The sequence below is a fragment of the Homo sapiens genome, chromosome 3 (genome assembly GCF_000001405.40).
Source record: "Homo sapiens chromosome 3, GRCh38.p14 Primary Assembly".
NCBI classification, from domain to species: Eukaryota; Metazoa; Chordata; class Mammalia; order Primates; family Hominidae; genus Homo; species Homo sapiens.
Window position 1 is genome coordinate 197775780 of NC_000003.12, and position 18929 is coordinate 197794708.

Genomic DNA, 18929 nt, shown 5'->3' on the forward strand with positions numbered 1-18929 from the left:
GGGAAAGAAATAATAATTGTAGCCTTTTTGCTTCTGCAGTGAACAATATTTACATAATTGTGATCATATAAATGTTATTTGTTTTGAACTTTGAGAATCAACCTGTTAGACAAAGCACAAAATAGTTAATTTGAGAACAATATAATGTAAATGTCCGATTTTGACTAATGTGAATATAAAGGAAGAGCTGACAGAAAGTGAGAGGTACAAACAAAGGAGCAGAGGTGGAGGGAAGGAATAGAGGCACTATTATCCTTTCACATAAAGCTGGGGGTGGGTTCAAGAGATTCTGCTGAAAGAAACAGAGATTTAAGTATTTTCAGTTACAAAGGCCTGGAAATAGTGATACAGCCATCAAAATGTTTCATGGTGGGTAAGGAAACTGGAGGATAGTTTGACGAACTAAATCTTTATTCATCATAGCAATTTTTTTTTTTTTTTTTTGAGATGGAGTCTCGCTCTGTTGCCCAGGCTGGAGCGCAGTGGCACAATCTCAGTTCACTGCAACCTCCCCCTCCCGGGTTCAAGCAGTTCTCTGCCTCAGCCTCCTGAGTAGCTGGGATTACAAATACCCACCACCACACCCCACGCCCAGCTTAAATTTGTTTTTTTTTTTTTTTTTTTTGGTAGAGATGGGGTTTCACTATCTTAGCCAGGCTGGTCTTGAACTCCTGACCTCATGATCCACCTGCCTCTGCCTCCCAAAGTGCTGGGATTACAGGTGTGAGCCAGTGCCCGGCTGCAGCAAGGTTTTTTTTTTACTATGTAAGCATCTTGTTTAGTGAATTGGAAGTAACCAGAAAGCAGTAAAAACAGGTTAAAAGTGCTGCCTCTGGAGAGTAGGAATAGAAAGCAGGAGAATAGTGGGGTGAGGGACTGTTGCTTTTTATTAGAAGTTCTTTTGTACTATTTGATTTTTTTAAATTTGTATACATTTATTACACTGAAAAATATTTAATAAATTAATTCAGATGCCCAGTTCCGCACCCAAGATGTTGATTTATTATATCATGGTGGGGTTCAGGTACTTATTTCTTACAAGCTAAGAAAAAGTAATGGCTACTTTTAATGTTCATTTTTATTTTGAATATACATAGGGTTTATCAACTTACATTTAATGAATTTTTTTTATTTTTTTTGAAACTAGATGGCGGACTTCCACCACAAATGGAGGGATTTTGACTGTATCTATTGACAATCCTGGAGCAGTGCAATGCCCAGTGTAAGTTGTTTCTTTCTTTTTGCAAAAATTATAACCTCTCATTACATGAGATCATAAGAAAGTATTGGACTTCTGCTCAGAGAATGATGTCCAAGTTGGGATGAACCAGGAAGACAGTAATACCTGTGATACAATATGGAAACAGTATATGGTGTAAAGTAAAGTAAGAGCTTTCTTGATTCCTGATTCTGCAGCCCTAAATGACCACGTTGGAACAGTGTTTTTTATGTTTTAAAAATTATGTGCATGTATACTCTGTGTACCCTTTTTTTGGAGGCAAGGTCTGGCTCTGTTACCCAGGCTGGAGTGCAGTGCCATGATCATGGCTTATTGCAGTCTTGACCTCCCAAGCTCAAGCGATCCTCCTGCCTCAGCCTCCCGAGTCCTGAGGAGCTGCAGCGACAGTTGCCCACCACCATGTCTGGCTTTTTTGTTTGTTTGTGCCCAGACTGGTCTTGAACTCCTAGACTTAAGCAGTCCTCTTGCCTTGGCCTCCCAAAATGCTAAGGTTACAGGTGTGAGCCACTGCACCTGACCCAATATATATATTTTTGTGTACAATAATAAACGAGATGATGGTATACATGCTACTTCTCCTAATCCCTGTAATGTTTTCGATGTCTTTATTTTTCAGACCATACAGACCTACGTTCTCTTTAAATTTATTGCTTTATAAACTTTGTCAATTTATGGAGCTTATGTTCTATTCAACCATCTCTTGATTTTTTTAAGAGATAACGTCTCACTCTGATGCCCAGGCTAGAGTGCAGTGGTGCCACCATAGCTCACTGCTGCCTCGAACTCCTGGGCTCCAATAATTCTCCTGCCTCAGCCTCCTGAGTAGCTGGGAACATAGGCATGCACCACCACACCCAGCTAATTTTTTTTTTGTACAGATGGGGGTCTTGCTGTGTTCCTTAGGCTGGTCTCTAACCCCTGGCCTCAAGCGATCCTTGTGCCTTGGCCTCCCAAAGTACCGGGATTATAGGCCCGAGCCACAGTGCCTAGCCCTCCAGCCATCTTAATGATTGAAATGAAAAGCATGTAGGATGGGTACCTAGGACTTTAGAGGTTGCTTTATTTTAATGGAAGATCAAGAGTTAGGAATCACCAAACATTCCAACTTGTTGAAAAGTTTGTAGTTCTATTTAAAGAGATATTCTCTGAACAATTATATATTTTAGTCTAGAGTAGCCAGTGAAACTTTTTTTTTGAGAACACAAATAAAATGGCCCTAATACATTTGAACATGTGTACAAGATGTCTTAAGTACCAAGTGAATTTATTTTTCTTTTCATTGTTAAGCTGCTCTGATATTTTAATATTTTTCTAATAGAACTCAGAAACCACGATTAACTCGTACTGCTGTACCTTCATTTTTAACAAAGCGGGAGCAAAGTGACGTCAAGAAAGTTCCTAAAGGTGTTCCCCTGCAGTTTGACATAAACAGTGTCGGAAAACAGGTAAAAAAACGTTTTCTGTATTTTCTTGGGTCATTTGCTGAGTATTTTAATTAACAAAGTATTTATTATAATAGTGAATTATAAACAAGGTATCCTAACTGCCCCCTGAAACCTAGGGAACCACTAATCTGCTTTTGTCTGCCATTTGCCTATTTTGACATTTCATATAAATCAGCTCATACGGTATACATTTGTGACTGAATTCTTTCACTTAGCATAATGTTTTAAAGGTTCATCTATATTGTATGCGTGTTTAATTTTGTTTTCCTGCTGAACAGTGTTCATCATATGTATATACCACATCTTATTTATTCCTTCATTACTGGATGGGTATTTGGGGTGTTTTCAGTCCTCGGATATTAGGAATAATACTGCTCTGAGCATTTGTGCAGAAGTTTTTGTGTGAGCATCTGTTTTCATTTCTCCCTGGTAAATACCTAGGAGTAGAATTGCTAGGTTTATAGTAACTCTGTATCTAACCTTTTGAGGAACTGCTGGACTGCTTTTTTCCTAGAAGAGTCTGTGCTACAGCTTAATATTCCCACCAGCATCTATGAGGGTTCTGAATTTCTCTACATCCTCACCAACACTCACTATTATCTGCTGTTCGACTATAGCCATCTAGCAAGATTACAGGATACAAGGTTAATAACAAAATTGTCAAAACCAACCAGGTGCGGTGGCTCACGCCTGTAATCCCAGCACTTTGGGAGGCCGAGGTGGGGAGATCACCTGAAGTCAGGAGTTCGAGACCAGCCTGGCCAACGTGGTGAAATCCTGTCTCTACTAAAAATACAAAAATTAGCCTGGTGTGGTGGCTCATGCCTGTAATCCCAGCTACTAAGGAGGCTGAGGCAGGAGAATTGCTTGAACCCAGGAGGCAGAGTTGGCAGGGAGCTGAGATCGTGCCACTCACTCCAGCCTGGGCAACAGAGCAATACTACATCTCAAAAAAAAAAAGGTCAAAACCACATTGACAATTTTGTATTAACCATATTAAGCTTGTATCCTATAATTTTGCTAAATTCACTTACTTTTGTATTGACTTTGTGGATTCCTTAGGACTTTTTTTTTTTTTTTTTTTGTGAAACAGTCTCACTCTGTCACCAGGACTGGAATGCAGTGGCATAATCATAGCTCACTGTAGCTTTGACCTCCCAGACTCAAACGATCCTTCCTCCCACCTCAGCCTCCTGGGTAGCTGGGGATACAGGCACACACCACCACACCCAGGGATTCAGGCACACACACCACCACACCTGAGGATACAGGCACACACACCACACCTGGGGATACAGGCACACACCACCACACCTGGGGATACAGGCAAACACCACCACACCTGGGTATGCAGGCACACACCATACCTGGGGATGCAGGCACACACACTACACCTGGAGATACAGGCACACACTGCCACACCTGGGGATACAGGCACACACCACCACACCTGGGGATGCAGGCACACACACCACACCTGGGGATACAGGCACACACCATACCTGGGGATGCAGGCACACACACTACACCTGGAGATACAGGCACACACTGCCACACCTGGGGATGCAGGCACACACCACCACACCTGGGGATGCAGGCACACACACCACACCTGGGGATACAGGCACACACACCACCACACCTGGGGATATAGGCACACACATCAGCACACCTGGGGATACAGGCACACACCCACACCTGGGGATACAGGCACACACACCACACCTGGGGATACAGGCACACACACCATACTTGGCTAATTCTTATATTTTTTGTAGAGACAGGGTTTCAGATAGGGTTTCGCTACATTGCCCAGGCTGGTCTTGAACTCCTAAGCTCAAGCCACCGCCTGCCTTCTGTGGCTGGCCAGCTTAGGATTTTCTGTGTAAACAATCATTTCATTCTCCTAATTCCTTTCCAATCTTTAAACCTTTTCTTTTTCTTGCTTTGTTACAAAGGCTAGGACCTCCAGTCCAATGTTGAGTAGAAGTGGTAAGATGTATACTTGTATGCATGCCTTGTTCCAAAGCCTGAAGAGAAAGCACTAAATATGTCACCATTTAGTATGATATTAGGCATAGATTTTTTTTTTTTTTGAGATGGAGTCTTGCTCTGTAGCCCAGGCTGGAGTGCAGTGGCATGATCTTGGCTGACTGCAACCTCTGCCTCCTGGGTTCAAGCAATTCTCCTGCCTTAGCCTCCTGAGTAGCTGGGATTACAGGCATGTGCCACCACACCCGGCTAATTTTACTGTATTTTTAGTAGAGACAGGGTTTCACCATATTGGCCAGGCTGGTCTCAAACTCCTGAACTTTTGATCCGCCTGCCTTGGCCTCCCAAAGTGCTGGGATTACAGGCGTGAGCCACCATGCCTGGCCCAGTTTCTTTTTTTTTATTTTTTATTTTTATAGATTCTCTTTGTCAGATTGAGGAAGCTCCCTTCTATTCCTGATATGCTGAGAATTTTTATCAAGAATGGGTATTCAATTTTGTCAAATGCTTTTTTGGTATCCTTGAAATAATGTGAAATTGAAGATACAAAGGATGGATAGAAATTTGACCAAATTGGCCTGGTGCGGTGGCTCACGCCTGTAATCCCAGCACTTTGGGAGGCCGACACAGGTGGATCACTTGGGGTCAGGAGTTTGAGACCAGCCTGGTCAACATGGAAAAACCCTGTCTCCACTAAAAATAAAAAAATTAGCCGGGTGTGGTAGCACGTGCCTGTAATCCCAGCTACTCGGGAGGCTGAGGTGGGAGAATTGCTTGAACCCAGGAGGCGGAAGTTGCAATGAGCTGAGATTGTGCCACTGCACTCCAGCCTGGATGACAGCCAGACTGTCTCAATAAAAAAAAAAAAAAAATTTTGACCAAATTTGTTTTGCTTATTTTTATTTTGTTGCTATTATTGTTTTCCAGAAATGGTATAGTTTGTAGATGCTGTTGTTAATAAAAAAAAAAACAGATTTTCATTTGAATTTGATTTGAATTTCTGTGTTGAACTCACCGTAATTCAAGAAAATTTGCTATAAAATATTTACAGGTCTGAAGAGTTCTTACTTTTATCAGTGACATCATGAGTTGGTGGCAGTGTTTACAGAGCCTGAAAATAATTCAGATAGGGGCTTTGGGTGTATGACTTCTAGGCATTATAGCATATGTGTGTTTTATATAGTATATAATGTAGGCTTTATATGAGGTCATACATGTAAATATTTAGGAAATTTTAGCTGTCATTACTTGTAATTAATCATAAGATCACATTATTGTTCCAAAGCAAATATGGCCTTCAGTAAAGTTGTTAATTGTTGCTTTGTTGTTGTTTTTGTTTTTTTCTTTTCTCTAGACAGGGATGACGTTGAATGAGCGGTTTGGGATCCTGAAGGAACAAAGAGCCACTCTCACATACAACAAAGGGGGAAGCCGCTTTGTCACCGTGGGATAGGTCCCATGTCAAAGGAACTTTTGAGTGATGACTCTGAGAAGTTGAATTGCTTGAAGAGTTCATCACGGAAATTCAAGAAACTTTACTTCAAAATATTCACAAGGCTAAATAACTCTTATTTTTATTTTTGAAGGTTTTTTTTTTTAAAAAAAAAAACGTATAAAATAATGCCCTGAAAGAATAATAGGGATTATACCTGTCTGTTCTTAAAGATTTCATGGTTGGCTCAGACAGAACAATCATCTGTTTGACTTCTTTGGTTCCTCATGCAGCAGAAGGAAGACAGAAAGATAGAAATTGATTATTTTTATGATAGCAGTATTCAGGATCTCATCACCTTTGCCCGTGTTTTAGACTTTGTCATGGTAAATCCTGGTCTTCATAAACATGAGTAGGTCCCTTGGTTGCTGTCACTTGCCCTTTAATAGTGTTGATGTAGTCAGTGCCGTTGCCTTTTCTTCATTAGAGACACAGAACAATGTATTAGAATTTCCAGCTGTGGGTTTGAAGACTTAGGGGGACATCCAGAACGTGCTTCCTCTTTCAGACGGTGTAAAGTCCCCTGGAATTACACAGCTTTAGTGCTGAGCTTTTAACAGGAAATGTGGCCCTAGGTATTAGTCTTAGTTTAAAATGTTGGTGTTTAGAGACTGTAAATGCATATTCACAAAGTTATCTGATAGGGCCTTGGAGGAGAAGGTCCAGTTTTAAAAAATGACAGTTTGTGTTTAATAAATGAAGGCATGAGAGGAAGTAAGTAGCAAGTTGAAGGACAGGTAGTTGAGATGAAACACTTCAAAACCCTGGTTATAGATGTACTGTTTGGATGTAGCATAGTCTTGAGTCTAGCGTCCACAAAGAATTATTCAAATGATATTTAGAAGAATTATAACTATTACATTGAATGGAGTCCCTTGGATATTTTGATAGTAAAATTAATAGCCATAAAGTCCTAGACTTCTTATTTGAAGTTAAAATTTCTTATTTGAAAAGTTGAAATTTATGAGCTTTGAAGATTGCTAAATTAAATAATTTATAGCTCCAAAAACAAAAATATACTTGTATATGTCACAGAGAAAAAAAATGCAAAATTTATAATAGAGTTACATTAACCTTGTTGTTTACCTTTCACTGATTTCTTATATGGTATAAATTAAAGTTCAGGCATTTATGGGGAGAAAAGGCCCTCCCCACCGACCCGCCACCTGCCACCTCTGACGGAGTGGGAGAAGTTAGTCTGTGCTAAGATAGTACTGAGTCCCCAGATGTTGTATACTGTAAATTACAGTATAATGCCAAATGCAGCAAAATCTTCCAGCTGTACGTTACAAGTTTGGTCATTTTGAAGCTTGACATTTTAGTTTGCCATTATGTTAAAAACATCTAAATAGGTGTTAGTTTCTCAGGAGTAGATTGTTAGTGTTGACTTTTCCTGTAAAGCAGACATCGTTCTTGGCCTGCCCTGCATTGTATACTAGATTTCATTGTTGTCTCTCATGCTTCTTGAGTTGCTTCATGGTTTATGCTCGCCATGGAAAGCTATCAGTAACAGTTTCATGCTTATACCAAAGAATTAAATCTGATCTTTAATATCTGATATTTTCCTGGTACTCGTACTGATAAGGGATTATTGGAAGTCAGTCACAGAATTTGGAAATAAATTCTAGTCTCTCCTTAGCTATTTGATGCTTTTCATATAGGCCAAGAACTCATTGCAAAACATTTTTGCAAGGATGAATGCCTGTATTTGGTCTAGGAACAGTACATTTTAGTCTGATTTAGAATTACTGGTAGCTTATTTTAAAGCAAGGAAAAGCAGCTGAGCTCAAGTTTGCTGTCTTTAGAATGGTTTGTGAAAATATGGTATAAAGGTGTTTTCATTTTCCTGTTCTTACCTATTATTGTATAGAGCTATTCATGCCATTTTTTGGGAAAACTTTAAAAATTGCCCCAAATACTGACATTGAGTGCATTAAATAACAAATTATCTTTGATACATTAAACTTTTATTCTTCATGCATCTGTAATTTAATTTTAAGTATAATGTTTTGCCTTTGGTACAACTAAATTAAAACTCTTGGTGGTCACATATTGTATATAAACAAAACAATATGCTTTGTTGAAGGAAAATTTTCTTTATTGGAATGTGGTTGTAATCCTTGTTCAGTTCTTAAGTTTCGGTTTTTTTTAAAAACAGGATGCAACTTAAACTTTTCTTTGCATCAAGGTATATGCAAAACATTGGTGCCGTGCATCACCAAATGAAAGTTTGTATTTAACGAGGAGGTGCTTTACACTGTACTTTTTGGTGTTTTTTGGAAAAGTTACATTTAGATCTATTCTGAAGCTGTTCATTTTTAACAAATAAAATGTTACAGGTTTCACATGATTTATTCTCAGCTCTAAAGATTGAGTTGTGGTTTTTAGATTGTTCTATGTTACGAAGAACTTTGTAGTGGTTATCTATATTTGTAGTTTTTAGGGTGTGAAACCTTATCTACTAGCAAAATTGGTAAATCACTGTAGACTCTTCTATTAGCATCCCTCTCTCTTTTGATGATTTCATTTGTAGCTCCAACAAATGAATCTAAAAAGAAGAATCCAGGCTGGGCACGGTGGCTCATGCCTGTAATCCCAGAACTTGGGGAGGCCAAGGCGGGCGGATCATGAGGCCAGGAGCAAGACCAGCCTGGCTAACATAGGGAGACTCTATCTTTACTAAAAATACAGACATTAGCTGGTGTGGTGACATGTGCCTGTGGTCCCAGCTACTTGGGAGGCTGAGGCGGGAGAATTGCTTGAATCCAGGAAGCAGAGATTGCAGTGAGCCGAGACCACGCCATTGCACTCCAGCCTGGGTGACAGAGTGACACTCTGTCTTAAAAAAACAAAAAAAAAGAATCCAGTATACTTTGCAATGCAGAATATTGGGTTAGATGAGCCTTTAGAGACTAATCCAGTTTAACCCCTCCTTTTTACACCTTAGTAAAGTGAGTCCTAGTGTTTTCAAGACTTGCATGTGGCAGAGTTATTTTTTGAGCTCAGATCTTCTAATTCTTAATTGATAATAAACTGCTTTGGTGAATTAACACCCACAGAAAATAGTGGAATGGTGTGTGGTTTTCAAATACCTAAGAATTGGTAATAGCCATGCTTTAGCATTTTTAGCATGGTAAGTAAATCTATTCTACCAGTGATGGTTATACTTTATTACTTTGCTATTTGGGTTAGGTAGACCTGTTAGAAAAGTCCAGTGTTCCTAATCAGATATGCATTTTTTAAAAACAGGCATAAACTCTTCACCACAATTTTAATTACAGTCATCCCTCAGTATACACGGAGGATTGGTTCCAGGACCCTTGTATATACCCAACCCTGCGCAATACTGAAGTCCCACATCTGTGTAAACGAAAAGTTGGCCCACTGTGTACATGGATTTTCCATTCCAAGATGTTTTTTTGGTTCAAAACAATTTGCTTATAAGTAGACCCAGGTAATTCAAAGCCATGTTGTTGAAGGGCCAACTGTTTAAGCCAATCGTAAAATACTGTGTCTGAGGAAACAGGCCTCATTGCTCAGCAGTGAGTTTTTATTAGACTAGGTATGTATATCATTATTAATATTTTACTGTAAATAGCTTTGTAATTCACACAAAGTATACGGGCCCAGCAGGCCTCATTGCTCAGCAGTGAGTTTTTATTAGACTAGGTATGTATATCATTATTAATATTTTACTGTAAATAGCTTTGTAATTCACACAAAGTATACGGGCCCAGAATAATTTTTGTTGATTTATTTTTACTATAAGGAGATAAGAGAAAAAATAGCTCACTTGGCAGCACAGAAAATGAATACCATATTGGCAATATTAAAGCAGAAAATAATTCATTTCTGATCAGTAGTGCTTTCAGTTTTCATCAGAATTATTATTATTATTATTATTTTGCCACTGTGAAAAAGCAGTTAAGCATGTAAAACTTCCCTTTAGAGAGGGTTCTTTTTGGATAGATCAATTTGGAACTAGCTTCTTTTTTTTTTTTTTAAATGATACTTCAGTAAACACAGCATTTACAACAAGAATTGTGGACTATGGTGGACCATTAATAGGGATTTAAAGATTTACTTAGAAATTGTAGACTTCTAATATCTTTTATTTCCCTTCTCACCACAGTTTATTTTCTTTTTTCTTTTTCTTTTTTTTTTTTTCTTTTTTTTCTTTTTTTGAGATGGAGTTTCACTCTTGTTGCCCAGGTTGGAGTGCAATGGTGCGATCTCGGCTCACCCCAACCTCCGCCTCCCGGGTTCAAGCAATTCTCCTGCCTCAGCCTCCCAAGTGGCTGGGATTACAGGTGCCCACCACCATGCCCAGTTAATTTTGCATTTTTAGTAGAGACGGGGTTTCTCCATGTTGGTCAGGCTGGTCTCAAACTCCTGACTTCAGGTGATCTGCCTGCCTCGGCCTCCCAAAGTGCTGGGATTACAGGTGTGAGCCACCGCACCCAGCCTACAGCTTATTTTCTACCTATGTTTAACAGGAAGCTTGATAACACAAGCAAATGTGATGCCATTCTGGGACTGAAATGTCGTCTTATGAGTGTATTCAGATGAGGTATACCAGTGTTTAAAGATTAGTTGGAAGTTATTCTCCTAGTGTGCATATTTAATTTCTACTTACTCCATTTCCCTTTAATGAGAAAAGAATCATATTGTCTGAATTTTCCTGTATAAAGTTTAAAAAAGTTAATTATTAGGACTTGTTTTTAAAGGAGTAAGCAATGGAAGGATCAAACATTTATTAAATATATTCAGCAAATATTTAGAATTAAATGTATTCAGCAAGGAAGAGAATGGGATTCATACTGCTTGGAGTTTATAAAAGCGGAGTTTTTTTATTTTTTGAGACGGAATACTCTGTCACCCAGGCTGCAGTGCAGTGGCACAATCTCGGCTCACTGCAGCCTCTGCCTCCCAGGATCCTTTCCGGGTTCAAGCAATTCTTGTCCCTCAGCCTCGTAAGTAGGTGGGATTACAAGCTTGAGCCACCACAGCCAACTAATTTTTGTGTTTTTAGTAGAAATGAGTTTTCACCATGTTGGCCAGGCTGGTCTCGAACTCCTACCCTCAGGAGATCTGCCTGCCTCAGCTTCCCAAAGTGCTGGGATTACAGGTGTGAGCCACCACGCCCGCCCTAAAAGTGGATTCTTTTTTTTTTTTTTTTTTTTGGAGACAGTCTTGCTCTGTTGCCCAGGCTGGAGTGCAGTAGTGATCTTGGCTCACTGCAGCCTCTGCCTCCCGGGTTCAAGCGATTTTCCTGTCTCAACCTTCCAAGTATCTGGGATTACAGGCACGTGCCACTACACCCAGCTAATTTTTGTACTAAGACGAGGTTTCACCATATTGGCCAGTCTAGTCTCAAACTCCTGACCTCAGGTGATATGCCCGCCTCTGACTCCCAAAGTGCTGGGATTACAGGCATGAGCTACGGAGCCCGGCCTAGAAGTGGAGTCTTAGAAGGAGTGACCATGATATGTTTCTACTGAGTAGAAGGGGGAAGGGAGGACATAACCTTTGCATGATATAGTGAAATGCAGAGCTGGAAAGAACTATTAAGATTTGAGTGAAACTTTTGCCCCCTGTGTTGAATGAGTTAACTTTCAGTCTGTAAAATAAACAGGAAGAACTGGGAAGTACACTGTATCAATTGCTAACACTGAATAACCTGCGCTGCCTGTTTTTTCAGCTTCTGCTCCCAGACCACAGACCAGTGGTGGAAGAAGTTACAGATCCCTGTAAGCCACTTTGCTCCTGGCCTTTGTACAACTATCTTTCATCATTTCTTTTATTCATCATTAGACTCTTTGGTGAACTCCCCACAAAGACTCCATTTCCTATATCTCTTTCTCATAAGACGCTGTCACCTACTTTATGGAGATGACTGAGAGAGTAGGGTAAGAATTCCCTCATAGTCTACCTTTACTTTGTAGCTGAAGCCTCAACTCCTTAGAAGTCACAGCGTTAACTGCTCAATCTATCTTTCCTTCCATCCTTCCTTTACCTAGGACTTGTTCTCATGTAATAGTATATATAGCATCTTCAGTTTCCCCCATATGCACAGGTCTTTCTTTTGGCTTTTTAAATATCTACATTTCTTTTTTCTTTTTATTTTTTGAGACAGAGTCTTGTTCTGTCGCCCAGGCTGGAGTGCAGTGGTGCGATCTTGGCTCACTGCAGCCTCCGCCTCCCGGGTTCAAGCAATTGTTGTGCCTCAGACTCCCGAGTAGCTGGGATTACAGGTGCCTGCCACCATGCCTGGCTAACTTTTATATTTTTAATAAAGCAGGGATCTACTGACTTGGGAACCCTGTTTTCCTTAAAAATTGTAATTCTTTCTTTTTTTTTCCCTAGATGGAGTTTCCCTCTTGTTGCCCAGGCTGGAGTGCAATGGCATGATCTCGCCTCACTGCAACCTCCGCCTCCTGGGTTCAAGTGATTCTCCTGCCTCAGCCTCCTGAGTAGCTGGGATTACAGGCGTGCACCACCACACCCGGCTAATTTTGTATTTTTAGTAGAGAGGGGGTTTCTCCATGTTGGTCAGGGTGGTCTCGAACTCCCGACCTCAGGTGATCCGCCCACCTCGGACTCCCAAAGTGCTAGGATTACAGGTGTGAGCCACCACACCCAGCCCAAAAATTGTAATTCTTTTTCCTTTCCTCATAACCTCTCGTGTGTGTACATAATCTATTTTGGTTTCTACTGCTTTCCACTCATTTTTATTATTTTTTAAAATTATTTTTCATTTTTAGAGATGGGATGTCATTCTCTCCTAGGCTAGAGTGCAGTGGCACAATCATAGCTTGCTGCAGCCTCAACTCCTGGCATCAAGCAAACCTACCTCACCATCCCAAGTAGCTGGGACTACAGTCAGGCACCACCACACCTAGCTAATTATTTTAAAAAATTTTAGAGACCAGAGGGTGGGAGGTGGGGTGCCCTCACTATGTTGCTCAGGCTGGTCTCGAACTCCTGGCCTCAAGCAATCCTCCCACCTTACCCTCCCAAGTAGCTGGGATTACAGGCACAAGCAAGGGTTGACTAATTTTTTAACTCCTAAAAATATACTCAGTCCTATGATAGCATAGAGTTTAATATATTAAGGACCTTAAAATCTTGTTGAATATTCAAGCATCAATCTATAAGCTTGGTCAGTTCAGGGCTAGCATAGTATGTTGCTATTACAATGGGATGTATTCATACATATAGATAGGAATGAGGCCTATTACAGAGAACTTGACAGAATTTAGTGTAGATGTGGAAGGTAATAAGCAATCAGATGACAATGGTGCATTTGAAAAGGTACATCTGGCAACTAATTCTACAGCATTGTAGCATTAGTGTGGAGTATATGAATAGATAATCAGTCATTGTAGTTGAAATCTCCCTAAAAAGTAAAAAAACTGCCCTTAAATAGCTTAATATCTTTCGAAGAATAACAGTTTTAGGAAGCCCAGGATAACAAAAAGCTATATATGCATTGGATAAATGTTATTTGCTGGGGATGACAAATACGTCACCTGCCATTGTGACCCACGCTCATAACATGTATGAGCTCATAACATATGTATGGTTATGTATCATGGAACTTGTTGCTGAAGTAACTAGAATGTATTGAGAGTTTATAGAACAGCTCTCTGGGCAGCTGTTACTAATCAACTTTGGCACTGGGATTAAACATTTTTATACCTTCTAGCATTTAGCAATTCATGCCAATTGAGGTGTCATTGAAGAGTTGGGGCTTGAATGAGAGGATCTCTCCATCCTTATTTTTCTTTTGCTCTCTGACACGAACTTTCTGATCTGTGGCCTTCGTATCCTCCACATGTTACCACTTTAAGTCGTATCTGGATGTGTTCATGCTGATCCATCTTCTAGTCTCACCTTCCAGTTTGTCCTACTTTATAATCCTTCAGGTTTAATTCAAAACCGAATTTATCCATGATATAGCTTTCTTTTCTCTGGACTCATAAGTAAGCCCCATCACTCTTAGCCCTTTTTTGTGGGCCTGTCTGGGTTCCATAATTAGATTGTGATCCTCTAGGAAAGGATTGTACCTGACAGCCTCTTCTATTTCCCATAGTAAAACTAGTTGATTAATTGTTGGTAAAATTTACATCATATAGCAGAAATGGCTTCTTCAGTAAAACAGACTGAAGAATATGCTAGAGACTGGCTGCAATATAAGTGAGGTCTAATTGGTTTTAAATGAAGTATTTTCCACTCTTTCATTTCTTGAGTGGTTTCAATTTAGAGCATCTCTTCGGTTCTACCTTTAATTCCCACATTTAGATTACAGTGAGATCATTTTCTGTTCCTCAATTTTGGTTCCAGACCAACATTTTAGATTTTAATACTACTATAATCTTGCTTTATCCAACAATAAAATCTTGCCAAAAGTACAAGTACTATTGAAGATATTTGTTGTATTTTCATTAAGAAAAGCTATTTTATAAAAGGGATGGATGATATAAAATAATACGTTTTTAATGAGAATTTTGAGCCCAATTAGCACGTTTGTTTGTTTGTTTTCTCTCCAGCAACCATAGTAAGTCCACCAAACCTTGATTTAGATCATCTGGTAATACAATGAAGTTGGGAAACGGTTTAGGTCGTATCTCAGAGGGTCCGCTCCTCTCACCATCCAAGTTTCTGCAGCAGCAGTGTTAAGAAAGATTCCTTGCCGGGCGCGGTAGGTCACGCCTGTAATCCCAGCACTTTGGGAGGCAGAGGCGGGCGGATCACTTGAGGTCAGGAGATCGAGACCATCCTGGCCAACATGGTGAAACCCCGTCTCTACTAAAAATACAAAAATTAACCGGGTGTGGTGGTGCGTGCCTGTAGTCCCAGCTACTCGGGAGCCTGAGGCAGGAGAATAGCTTGAACCCAGGAAGCAGAGGTTGCAGTGAGCCGAGATCGCGCCACTGCACTCCAGCCTGGGCGACAGAGCGAGACTCTGTCTCAAAAAAAAAAAATTCTTAATTTAATGCTTAGTCGACTCCTCCACTACTGAGGGAGCAAGGCGGAGAAGTTTTGATGCGGAGCGTTGCCTGAAAGATGTTTTTGTAGAGGCATTTTAGAAATGCCCCTGGGAGGTTAGAGTAGGGGGCTGCTCTGGATTTGTGAGGTCCGTTTTAACTTCCCTTGAAAAGCGCATCATGTGGGCGGGGGCAAGCGCCTGGCTGCGCCGGGGGGCACCACGGTGCTGCCCATCACGGGAACCGTCCGGGGTCGGTCCGTGAGCCCCTTTCTCCGCCCACCCAGCGGTCCGGCCGCGCATGCGCTGAGCTGGCGGGCCCGAGTGTTGTCGGCTGGGAAATGGCGGCCGCGGGCTTGGTCGCTGTGGCAGCGGCTGCCGAGTACTCTGGCACGGTAGCGTCGGGAGGTAACCTCCCTGGTGTTCACTGCGGCCCAAGCTCCGGGGCAGGCCCTGGTTTTGGCCCGGGCTCGTGGAGCCGCTCTCTCGATCGAGCCCTGGAGGAGGCGGCGGTCACTGGGGTGCTGAGCCTGAGCGGCCGGAAACTGAGGGAGTTTCCCCGGGGAGCGGCCAACCACGACCTGACGGACACCACCCGGGCGGGTGAGCGGGGCGGGGGGCGTCTCTGCCCGTCGGAGACCCGGCGCCGGGAGCCGCCCCGGCCGGGGGAGGCGGATGCGGGGGAGTTACAGCAGCTCGTCCCGTAGGCGCCGGGTCCGGACCCGGGTAACGGGGAGAAGCCGACGGCGCCAGCCCTCCGGGCCTGCGCCAGACCCAGAGCCTGGGGAGAGGCGGCGGGCGGCGGCATCTCTCGGGGAAGGGGGCCGGAGTGATTGATGGATGATTTTTTAGGCTTTCTGAGGAAAATCAGTTTCTGCCACGGCGGAGGTAGACCCTTGCCCCGCCCCGGTTTCTGCAGGCCCTTTCGGATTTGGGGTGCCGAATGGACCTGCTAAGACGGGAACGTTAGCGCGAGCTCTTCACAGATCAGAGTAGCAGGGGTGTCTGGACGAGCTGCATTGTCAGGAAGGGTCGGTCTCAGCCCTGGAGTTTTTTCGAAAGAAGTGTTGGGGAGCGTGTGTTTAAAGTGGACCCGAAAGAAGTGTTGGGGTGTGTGTGTGTTTAAAGTGAACCCGAGAGAAGTGTTGGGGTGTGTGTGTGTTTAAAGTGAACCCCAAAGAAGTGCTGGGGTGTGTGTGAAGTGAACCCGAACGCTGGAACGTCTTTCTTCGCCTCCATCTAGTTGACTTACAAAATAAATACGCTTGTAAAAATAACTAGAGCCCACTTTCCGACTCCCATTAGTTTCCTCTTCCACTCCTCATGTCCTCCAAAAAAAAGTTGAAGCAAACTACTTAGAAAAGATAGTCTAACATATTTGTACTTGCTATTCCTTTTTAAAGCATTACTTCGTGTTATGTATGTTTTCGAACACAGGAAAGAGAATAAGAAAGTAGGTATTATTTGGCTTTCTTAGTTGTGGCGAACAGTGTCTGGTGCCCGAGTTGTTCATCATCATGTTTGCAGTGCCGTCATCACTGCTCACTGCAGCCTCGACCTCCCGGGCTCAGGTGATCCTCCCACCTCAGCCTCCTGAGTAGCTGGGACTACAGGCAGCCGCCACCACGCCCAGCTAATTTTATATATATATATATATATATATATATAAAATATACATATATATATAATATACATATAAATATTATATATAAAATATATATATATTTTTTCGAGACGGTATCTCGCTCTTGTCTCCCAGGCTGGAGTGGAATGACACAATCTCTGCTCATTGCAACCTCTGCCTCCCAGGCTCAGGTGATCCTCCCACCTCAGCCTCCCGAGTAGCTGGGACTACAGGCGCCCGCCACCACACCCGGCTAATTTTTGGATTTTTATTAGAGACGGGATTTCACCATGTTGGCCAGGCAGGTCTCGAACTCCTGACCTCAGGTGATTCGCCCGCCTCGGCCTCCCAAAGTGCTGGGATTACAGGCGTGAGCCACCGCGTCCGGCCAATATTTTGTATTTTTTTGTAGAGACGGGGTTTTGCTATGTTGCCCAGGCTGGTCTCCAACTCCTGGGCTCAAGCTATCCGCCGACCTCGGCCTTACAAAAGGTTGAGATTACAGGCGTGAGCCACTGCGGCTGGCAGTACTTGGTGTCTTATTTTATTTTAAAATCTTAGATTGAGCACATTTTCTATGCTTTGCAGTCATTAAAAATTTATAAGTATTACATATGATTCACTCATTTTGGAAAAATAAACAGAACTGTTAAACTAAAGAAGCGATTCTTTCCAAAGAAACTTTTGCTGTAGTTTAAAATAGAAGAAATTAAATGCCTGCTTATTTAATCTCTTTTTGGAAACAGTTGAACTGAATATTTTTTAGTGATTTAAAGTTTCTTGCTAAGGTAAATATGAGCAGCCACTTTCCTTTTGTGTGTGTTCTGGTAGACGGCATGTAAAATTATCATTCACACCTCAGATTTCCTGCTTCTGTTTAGGAGATGGCTATATGGTATAGTGATTTCATATTGGTGTGAGTCATTTCATTGTTACTACATCAAGCCTGAAGCTAAAGAACAAGTTGATTACAGGAGTCTGTCTAGCTCATTTTCTCACCTGCTTTTCAGTAGGTCTAGGAGCACCGTGTTGAGTCCTTAAATATTTTATTGACTAAGAAAATCCAAGTGCATTTATGAAGAATAATAAGTAATACCAAAGAGGTTTTTCCTTACTGTGCTCTGAGTTTTTAAGTATGGTGTTGCCTACACTTTAATAGTTTTGTATAGAAACCACATTTTTTGTTGGTTGATTTTTCATCTGGTCAAAACGTGTAAAAAGAAAATAAAAAGATTACAAGGTATTTTATAAGCTATTAGACTAGATTCATTTCTAACATGTAGTAATATCACTTATGAAATATAAAAAAAAATCTTTGGCAGACCTTGCTCGTTACCCAGTCTCTGTTTTAAACAGATAATTTAATGCCAATGACATCATTTATTGAGTGTTCACTATTTGTAATTCACCGTGTTAGATATTTTGAAATATACTGCCTTGTTAAATGCACACAATAATTTGTGGATTAAATACTATCCCCACTTTACATGTGAGGGATCACCTAGAGAAAGTCATATGGCTATCACCACTATATAGTATCACTGGTAGGATTTTGGCCCAGGTTATAGCTATCACCACTATATAGTATCACTGGTAGGATTTTGGCCCAGGTTATAGCTATCACCACTATGTAGTATCAGTGGTAGGATTTTGGCCCAGGTTCATCTAACTCTGTTCTTTCCACTGTACCATGCAACCTCTTCATATAGAAATAGGTGTTGCTGTTCCTGTTTTTACAGATGGTGGAAACCAGCATTTAGAGATGTTCACTAATTTGCTCAAAGATCTGTGGCTAAAGGACAGAGGAGACGGTATTAGCCAGGAGTTTAGTCTAGTTTGAGGTGACTCCAAAAGCCATAGTCTGTTTTTATGGCAGGTACTTTGATTAATTTGGAACCAACTTATGGTAGTTATTAGGTATGCTTAGACCTTATAGAAAATTTAAAGCCAAGTAAAATTAGTTGAATGCTAATATATAAAAGTTGCCTTGCATACTGTTTTTTCATAATGTGTAGCATGTACATGGTAGAGCTGTTGTCCTTCAAATTCGTATCCTAGGGAACAGCATATATTGCCCATATTTATAATTAGACATGATTTTGAACTTATTGGGAACGTTTTCTTGGGACTTTCTGTGCTGTTTATTT

General features: G+C 41.3%; 2 protein-coding genes across 21 annotated transcripts in view, besides 7 other annotated features; both read left to right on the forward strand.

Annotated features, from left to right (window-relative positions):
- FYTTD1 (forty-two-three domain containing 1) overlaps positions 1 to 11817 on the forward strand; it is a 38064-nt gene extending 26247 nt beyond the window's left edge. For all 3 annotated transcript variants that reach the window (NR_027840.2, NM_001011537.3, NM_032288.7), the window contains 3 exons: positions 1148 to 1222; positions 2559 to 2685; positions 6032 to 11817. Coding sequence is in view for 2 of the 3 variants with exons in the window: in NM_001011537.3 (NP_001011537.2) it covers positions 1148 to 1222; positions 2559 to 2685; positions 6032 to 6130 (301 nt within the window). In the remaining variant the exon portion in view is untranslated. The remainder of the gene's footprint in view (positions 1 to 1147; positions 1223 to 2558; positions 2686 to 6031) is intronic.
- Positions 1876 to 2049: a silencer, noted in NCBI's record as "fragment chr3:197504526-197504699 (GRCh37/hg19 assembly coordinates)". NCBI's record gives its function as "represses an EF-1alpha promoter that drives an FKBP-Casp9 reporter gene in an ReSE screen in HepG2 liver carcinoma cells {active_cell/tissue: HepG2}" and the evidence as "EXISTENCE:reporter gene assay evidence [ECO:0000049][PMID:32094911]".
- Positions 6660 to 6859: an enhancer, noted in NCBI's record as "active region_21116". NCBI's record gives its function as "activates an Ori minimal core promoter by ATAC-STARR-seq in GM12878 lymphoblastoid cells {active_cell/tissue: GM12878}" and the evidence as "EXISTENCE:reporter gene assay evidence [ECO:0000049][PMID:35858748]".
- Positions 15135 to 15849: an enhancer, noted in NCBI's record as "H3K27ac hESC enhancer chr3:197517785-197518499 (GRCh37/hg19 assembly coordinates)". NCBI's record gives its function as "activates a minimal SCP1, AML or CMV promoter by ChIP-STARR-seq in primed H9 embryonic stem cells {active_cell/tissue: H9 hESC(primed)}" and the evidence as "EXISTENCE:reporter gene assay evidence [ECO:0000049][PMID:30033119]".
- Positions 15135 to 15972: a biological region, named in NCBI's record as "H3K27ac hESC enhancer GRCh37_chr3:197517785-197518499".
- LRCH3 (leucine rich repeats and calponin homology domain containing 3) overlaps positions 15447 to 18929 on the forward strand; it is a 97211-nt gene continuing 93728 nt past the window's right edge. For 11 of the 18 annotated variants that reach the window (XR_007095758.1, XR_007095759.1, XR_007095760.1 and 8 more), the window contains exon 1: positions 15447 to 15761. Coding sequence is in view for 14 of the 18 variants with exons in the window: in NM_001363887.1 (NP_001350816.1) it covers positions 15500 to 15761 (262 nt within the window). In the remaining 4 variants the exon portion in view is untranslated. The remainder of the gene's footprint in view (positions 15762 to 18929) is intronic. The other 7 variants (NR_158582.1, NM_001365715.1, NM_001365716.1 and 4 more) reach the window with 1 other exon arrangement.
- Positions 15463 to 15662: an enhancer, noted in NCBI's record as "active region_21117". NCBI's record gives its function as "activates an Ori minimal core promoter by ATAC-STARR-seq in GM12878 lymphoblastoid cells {active_cell/tissue: GM12878}" and the evidence as "EXISTENCE:reporter gene assay evidence [ECO:0000049][PMID:35858748]".
- Positions 15703 to 15972: a silencer, noted in NCBI's record as "silent region_15093". NCBI's record gives its function as "represses an Ori minimal core promoter by ATAC-STARR-seq in GM12878 lymphoblastoid cells {active_cell/tissue: GM12878}" and the evidence as "EXISTENCE:reporter gene assay evidence [ECO:0000049][PMID:35858748]".
- Positions 18303 to 18382: an enhancer, noted in NCBI's record as "active region_21118". NCBI's record gives its function as "activates an Ori minimal core promoter by ATAC-STARR-seq in GM12878 lymphoblastoid cells {active_cell/tissue: GM12878}" and the evidence as "EXISTENCE:reporter gene assay evidence [ECO:0000049][PMID:35858748]".